Source organism: Homo sapiens, chromosome 13, assembly GCF_000001405.40.
Source record: "Homo sapiens chromosome 13, GRCh38.p14 Primary Assembly".
Lineage (NCBI taxonomy): Eukaryota > Metazoa > Chordata > Mammalia > Primates > Hominidae > Homo > Homo sapiens.
Genome location: NC_000013.11, coordinates 85,616,834 through 85,624,880, shown reverse-complemented (window position 1 = coordinate 85,624,880; position 8,047 = coordinate 85,616,834). Strand labels below are relative to the sequence as shown.

At 31.3% G+C, this 8,047-nt stretch overlaps 1 annotated feature.

Moving 5' to 3' along the window:
• Positions 5,025-5,536: an enhancer, noted in NCBI's record as "NANOG hESC enhancer chr13:86193480-86193991 (GRCh37/hg19 assembly coordinates)". NCBI's record gives its function as "activates a minimal SCP1, AML or CMV promoter by ChIP-STARR-seq in naive H9 embryonic stem cells {active_cell/tissue: H9 hESC(naive)}" and the evidence as "EXISTENCE:reporter gene assay evidence [ECO:0000049][PMID:30033119]".

Here is an 8,047-nt window from a genome sequence, read left to right as displayed (position 1 = left end):
TATAAAAACAACTCTGGTTTATTTTATCTCATCTATTAATCATTTGATTAATTCACTGATTTAAAAGCATTGAGAAATTTCTATTGAACATTTGTGGTGATGGATGGTGAGAAACACAACATTAGAAACAATGACTCCTATTCTCAAGAGTGATTACAATTAATTTTGTGATATAAAAATTCCTATCGTTTAAGAAAGTATTTATAATAAATAAAAATATGTATCATGACCTTTAAGTTGAATAGAAATTTCAAGAAAGGAAATAATTCACTAATTTGAAATCATCAGAAAATATGTTCTGAAGGCTACAGACCTTGATTTTACAACCTCAACCATTAATCTCTATTAGCATAAATTTTGTTATCAGCCTCATGTCTGTTCTCATTGTACTCTGTTCCGGCTTGAAATTCCACATTGCACCTTGTACAATTCTCATTTATTTATTTACAGGCAAACTGATATGTAAAAAGTGATCTTTTGGGCCTGGAGACCGTTTTTTAGCCCCAGTTCAAATTGGTGAATACCATATTTAACTAAACTAGAAATTAGTAATATTCTGGAAATATATCTGTATTTCAATAAATAATTTTATTTGTGATTTCTGATCATTCTTTGGCATCAAAGTGACTCTGAAATAATTAATGCTGTATCGGAGGAAAATGTCAGTGCTAATCACCTCATTATACTTTTCTCCTAACACCCAAGAAAAACCAGAGATCTAAATAGCTCTGTCCTCTCTTGCATATTCACTCTTTTTCACATATCTGGCTCAGAAGAGTTCACAGCTAAAGGGTCAGCATTGTTTTTAATACTTGGGTTAACAATGAGAAAAGTTTCAGGACAGTTATCTTTCATATCTACGTATTCAGATAGTCTGTATAGTAGACATGGGCTTGCTCATATATGTGTGTACACACATACATATATTCATGAGTAGGCGAGAAATCAGTGATTGTTATCCTTAAATTATGTACCAAGAAGAAACATTGTATACTTTTAACATTATTCTTTGGCTACATAAAAATATCACTATTCAGTTTTTGAAAATCTATAATACGGTTCTTTAGAAAATAAAAATTTTATGTTCAAAATGTAGCAACCATATGTGTATTGTCATCACATTATTATATTAAATAATCATGTTATGCTGCTATATTAATGTCCTTGAAACTATCTTGTCAACAATAATAGTTATTATAAATGTTTCCAGGAATTTGGTAATAGTAAATCTATGAATTTAGTTCAGAATCACAAGTGATTAATTTTGGCTCATTTGAAGGTTATGTGTGCCACTAGATGCCATATTTTATTTAAAGTAAGTGTTTAACTAGGAAATTGAATTCCTTATGATATCCTCAAGGCTTAAGGATGTTTAATAAGTATAATACATTTTGGCCAGATGCAGTGGCTCATGCCTGTAATCCCAGCACTTTGGGAGGCTGAGGAGGGCAGATCACCAGGTTAGGAGTTCAAGACCAGCCTAGCCAATATGGTGAAACCCCATCTTTACTGAAAATATAAAAATTAGCCGGACGTGGTGGCACGTGCCTGTAGTCCCAGCTACTTGGGAGGCTGAGGCAGAAGAATAGCTTGAACCCGGGAGGCGGAGTTTGCAGTGAGCCAAGGTCATGCCACTGAACTCCAGCCTGGGCAACAAAGCAAGACTGTCTCACACATGCACAAAAAAATATAATACATTTTAAATGACGTATAAATGACCAGATTATTTTCCCGCGTTCTGTTGCAATGGAAACAAAGGGAATTACCTGCGAAAATTTCCAAATGCACCACAAGGATAACTACAATAATAAAGACAATTTTATCCGTAAGGCTGTATCCCTCAAATTAATGATGTTTTACCATTCTATTATCGGCTTCCTAGATGTACATTTTCACAGCAGTGTGGTTAAACTATGAGCAAATCTTCAAGAAGAATTCTGTGCAACTGAATGTTTGATGTGACTCAAGGACAAGTCTAACAGTGATCATTAGTGAGCTACCATGTTTAAAATATTTTAGGTTTTCTTATATGCCAGTCTTTTTTTATTTTTTAAAATTTCTGACTTTGTATGTCACCACCTCTTTCCTATCCAAGCTGTATCAAGCTCATTTTCTTATCTGTGTGGGTCTTTGTACAGTATATGCCTTTTATGTGAAACAAATGCAAAAATCTCCAAGTTCATTTGTAATTATTTTCCTAAAGTAAGGAAAAATGTTTATACAGCAAATCTGTTTAGGTTAGAGAGTTATGAATGATTTGATATTTTTCTTCTGTATATTTTTCAATATTTCCTTAAACTTCTATAACAAACATGGTGATTTAGTAATCTAAAAAACTATTAATATTTTTAAAAACACGCCTGAAACATTCATTTGCCTGGCATTTATTTGTTTTTGTCACCCTTTTTCCAAGTTTACTGCCTTCCTCATCTTGCAAACTCCTCCATATATCACTTTTCAAAAAATCTACTAACACCACATTTTTATCTAGCTGTTATTACTATCTTGTCCTAGAAGTGCAATTACCTCTCTCCTTGGAACATTGACTCCCCCATCCATGAGGATGCCAGATGTTCTATGACAGCAAAAATTTAATAAAATACCTTGCCTTCAATGGCTAGGATTCCACATCTTCTCCAAAGATCATTTGCTGCTTGTCCATTTCTCTCTAGATGGAAAGGAGCTCACATTTAGAGTGACCTTGGATTAGGTCTAGTCTTTCATTTACTCAGTACTTCACTATTGCACATCACTGAACCAATACTTACTTTTGGTGCAACATTTACAGCCCAGGGCTTCAACTTCAGTTAATTACTTTTTAATTATAAAATATAAATTTAGCAATTAAAAATTGTATTCATTCAAGGGGCCCAGTGTGATGATTTGCTATACATATATGTTGTGTACTGACTACAACAGTCAAATTAATTAACATCCATTGCCATGCATGGTTACGTTACCCTTTGTGTGTTGGGGGTGCGGGGGGATGGGGGGTGAGGACACTGAAAATTTGCTTTCTTAGCAAATTTCAAGTAAACTATACAGTATTAACTATAGTCACCACGTTGTACATTAGATCCCTAGAACTTACTCATCTTAAAACTGAAAATTTGAAACCTTTGGCCAACATCCTTCCATTTCCCCCAGAGTTAGTCCCTGGCAACCACTGTTCTACTTTTGTTCCTATACTTTTGACATTTTTAGATTCCATAGGTAAGTGAAATCAGACAATATTTGCCTTTCTGTGTTCAGTTTATTTTACTTAGCATAAGTTCTTCATATTTGTCCATGTTGTTGTCACAAATGTCAGGATTTTCTTCTCTTCTATGGCTGAATAATATTCCACAGAGTACATTATATATATATTATATATAGTGTATATATAATATATGTACACAGTGTATATATATATATTACATAACATTTTATATATATATTTATATATTATATATAACATTTTATATATATTATATATAACATAGATATAACATTTTAAAATCTGTTTATCCATTGATGGACAGTTGGATTGATTCCATATTGCGGCTACTGTGAATAATTCAGCTAAATTTTTAGGTGATCCTTGTGGAACAATCACAACCCTGTGTTCCTCAGCCAATATGTTGGCTACACAATGAATCCTCCTGTCTAGAGCCTTCACTGGCTACACACCTGGTGAAATGTCACCAACTGGTGGCATAGGCAGCCTAAAGGGCACTGAATTTTAGATCTTCTTAGTTTTCTAGAATATTCTGAATAATCAAGTAAATTAGTAGTACTTGCAATTTTTAAAAAATATCTATATAAAATTGAATTGTTTTATAAGGCCCATAAAAATGAAATATATAAACACGTTGGATGTTGTGCTCTACTTTATGTTGTACTGCAAGAAACAGGTTACCACATTTAAAAACTTGGGTCAAGACACCTACTATATCAATGATTGACCACAAAATAAAATTGTATGCCATTTTTTCTTATACTATCAAAAAGTTTTATGTATTTTTCTTTATTAAAAATTGTAAATGCCTCACTTATAAGAAAAATGTTGGCTGTATAAAGTTTCTAACTATCCTATGTGATGAATATCAGTTATTTATTCTAAATATGTAACCTGTATGCATTTTGGTGATAAAATAAATGTTCATTACTTGGAAATACATTATTATGATAATAAACAGTGAATGCTGGCAGAGCACGGTGGCTTACACCTGTAATCCCAGCACTTTGGAAGGTCAAGATGGGCAGATCACTTGAGGTCAGGAGTTCGAGACCAGCCTGGCCAACATGGCAAAAACTTATTCTACAAAAAAATAAAAAAAAAATTAGCCAGCCTGGTGATATACATCTGTAGTCCCAGCTACTCGGGAGGCAGAGGTTGCAGTGATCCAAGGTAGTGCCACTACACTCCAGCCTAGGCAACAGAGCAAGATTTCATCTCAAAAAAAAAAAAAAAAAAAAAAAAGAGTGAATGTTTATCTTAAAAATTTTGTTTCATTTTTACTTTACAAAATAAATAGCTGGCAAATCTTCAATATTGGTAACTTCTAATCTTTCTCTTTCAATTTTACTGATTCATGTAGTGTAAACCTGTCAAGTACTGATTTAACCTACATATGTGTCGATGAAACATACCAGTATAATCCATCCCATATACTTTTCACAAAGGAGAGAAGAGGTATACCTAATCAAAATCATGAATAAAACTCAAATAATTCATGTTTTATTTGATTATATATTCAAAGGTATGGGAATATATTGTCTTTAATAAACCATAGACACTGATAATTGTCTATTGGTTGGCTACCAAACAGAAGGCTTAAAAATCATAAGGATGGAATTTTTTCTTCCAAGAAGAGGCAGTAGTTGCATTTTTCCTATTTCTCTTACAAAGCGCAACTGAAACAAATATCAACAAATCCACATTTTCTTTTTTTTTTTTTTACTTTATCAACATTAATATTCAAGTTTTGATAACGTACTGCAGTTTTGTAAAACATTACTATAGGGGAAGTTGGGTAAAGGGTACACAGGATCTCATCGTTATTATTTCTTATGTAATTACAAATGTAAATTAAAATAAGAGGCATAATTCTCTCTGTGGACAATAAGGGAAGATAAGAAGTACTCTTTTTTTCTCAAGGCACTTACTTTAGAAAATGTGTAATTGTAAGTACTTTCTCCTCTCTTTGAAATGTATGTAAATCCTTTTGACTTCTAGATGGCCTTTTTGTCACTCTTATGATCCAGGATTGGCTTTCTCAAGAACTTGAGAGACTTCTCTCTGAAATACAAACCTCAAGAGAGACATCATCCCTATCTCCTAGTTTCTATGGGAAGGCAGGAGCCTAACCTCCAAATTAGCAAGGCGAGACCCTTGCTTCAATTTGCATAACTACCTCCTATCATCAAGAGATAACGCAGTTTGTTTTCCCTCTAGATAAAGCCAATTAGCTAACATAGATGGTGGTCACCCCAATTACCAAGTGAATTTAGGATGAATTACATGTGACAAATAGTGCCAAGTCTGTCCTCTTTCTTGAGGACTAGTTATTGCTTATTTGAAAATACATACGTAATGAGTTGTATCTGCTTGGCTATAAGAAAAGATCAGATTTCTCTGTCTTTGCATCTCTTAGCTGACTGCTTATAATGCATATTACATTCTAATTTAATGCTTATTAAATATTAAAATAATTTCATTTCTTTTACTTTGTGGAGAGGTTTTATGGACTTGGGAGAAGACTCTTTTTAATTATATTTCCCTAACACTTATGACTTCATATGATTCTACAATTACCTCCAAATAAAATGTTAATTAAAAATCATGAAGTTTTTTAAAAAGAGAAATCACATTAAGTAATTTTAAAAATAACTATATAAACCATAAAAGAAAAAGGAAAGCATATTGGTGTTGATCAACCTCGAGAAGATATGAGATTTGGTAAGTATAATATTTGGATTTAAGAAATTGGCTTCTTTATTAGGTCTTTATCTCAATGTCCTTAGATCTTTATTATTGCTCTACGCCTGCTACCCGATATTAGTTAAGCCATTAGAATCTACGCCTGAAATACAGGAAATATGCCACCACCATATCTCCCCTTTCACAGACCGAATGACTTCCCACATCTGCTCACTGTGTGCTGAAACATGCACAGACCATTCTTTGGAGCAATGTGTCCCTGAGAAACCACATCATAAGAGCTTTATAGCCATCTCTTTAAACATACTAGGCGTGGAAACTATGCAAGGAGTAAAGAATGTAACTAGTGACAAAAATAACATGCTTACTGCTTTCCATAAGGAAAAGTGGAGGTTTTTAAAAAAGTAAAGTGACTAAAAGTGATCTTGGCAAAAAGAAAGTCTCTCTCTTCTTTTCTCTCTTTTTCCTGAAAGACATGTTTCTTCCTTTCTCCCTATACATTACTCATACTTTAATAACCATCTTTCAAAGACTACTAATTCAAACATTGAAGGGAGGTCAATCTCTTCTGAATATCTATTTTAAATAATCAATACAAGAAAATTAATCAGTAGGTAATATTATGTGATTTACATTTAATGACTATGTTTTAAAAACATGAAAAATAAACTGCATGCATATAAACCCACCTGAGAGGAACGCTGATATTACACAACCTTCATGTAAATAGCTATATCTTGTTTGGAAAGAGTTAAAGTTGATGCTGTATTAAAATTAAATATTTTTATAATTTATTAGGACATTATATGCTAACTTGATTATGCTTAACCAAACGAACTAAAAATGACATTAAGATAATTTAACCAAGCTTATACTAAAGGCAAATTATGTCAAACCCAAAAAACAGAAGTGGTACAATTTAAAAACAATTATTAATTATTGAAGAATCCTTGTGATATTTTCTATGCAAAAGAAAAAATAAATTAAAACCTAAGTGTGTACATATTTAAACACAACACTTAAAACTGTACATGCATTGTTTAAAGAAATAACTCTGTGGGCTAAAGTAAAAAAAATAGTTTCAGTGGAAACACTGGTGGGTTTTGTTTGATTAAATTGGAGATTTGCATAAACATGAGTGACCACTAAAAGTGGCAAAAACAAAAAAAAGGTCATGCACAGCTGTAAGTACAATTTCAAGAAACGGATTTTTTTTTCATTTCTGCTGAGAAGTATATTTTGAAATATATTGAAACAAATGTAAACATTGTGTAAATTTTCCATTCCTTTTTACTCTTCCCATCAAAATAAATTACATACACAATCAGAATTTGAGATTACAATGAAAACAATTTAAAATTGTTTATAACATTTGGTAAAGAGATGAGTGTGAGAAATCACATAGTGAACCCAAGGACAATAAACATATGATCTGAATGAAATGTGTACAGATGTGAACATCTGAACCCCACAACCTTATGAGGCAACATGGTCCTTATTTTTTCTTTAAAATTAGAATCCTTGTTAATAGTACAGTGACTTCAAATTGATTCCTTGATTAAATTCTGGAAGTAATTTAAAAAATACCTCATTAGCTGCTCTCAAACTGTATTGCATTAGTGACTATGATATGAATAATAAAATGAAGTGTTTCCATTTCATTGATATTATTTATATTCTATAACTCCCGCTACTTTGTCATGAATGAGCAATATGTTCTAAAATATAATTAAATATTTATATAATTAAATATTTAATTATATATTATATAAATATTATATAAATATAAAATTATATATTGTAATTATATATTATATAAATATAAAATTATATAAATATTTAATTAAATATTTATATTTAAATATAATTAAATATTTAATAAAATATATTAAATATTTATATTGATATTGTAACAACAATATCAAATATGCCTCTAGCATGTAAGCTATAGAAGTTAAAATGCTAATTAAAAAGTATAAATTTGCCAAACTTTCAAATATTTAATAACAAATGTGATTCTAAAATAAAATTGATAAGATAAACATATACAGATATACTCATATGTATATATACCCTAGTTTATACCTATAAATTTTTGCAAATGCATACTTACTTGCTATATTT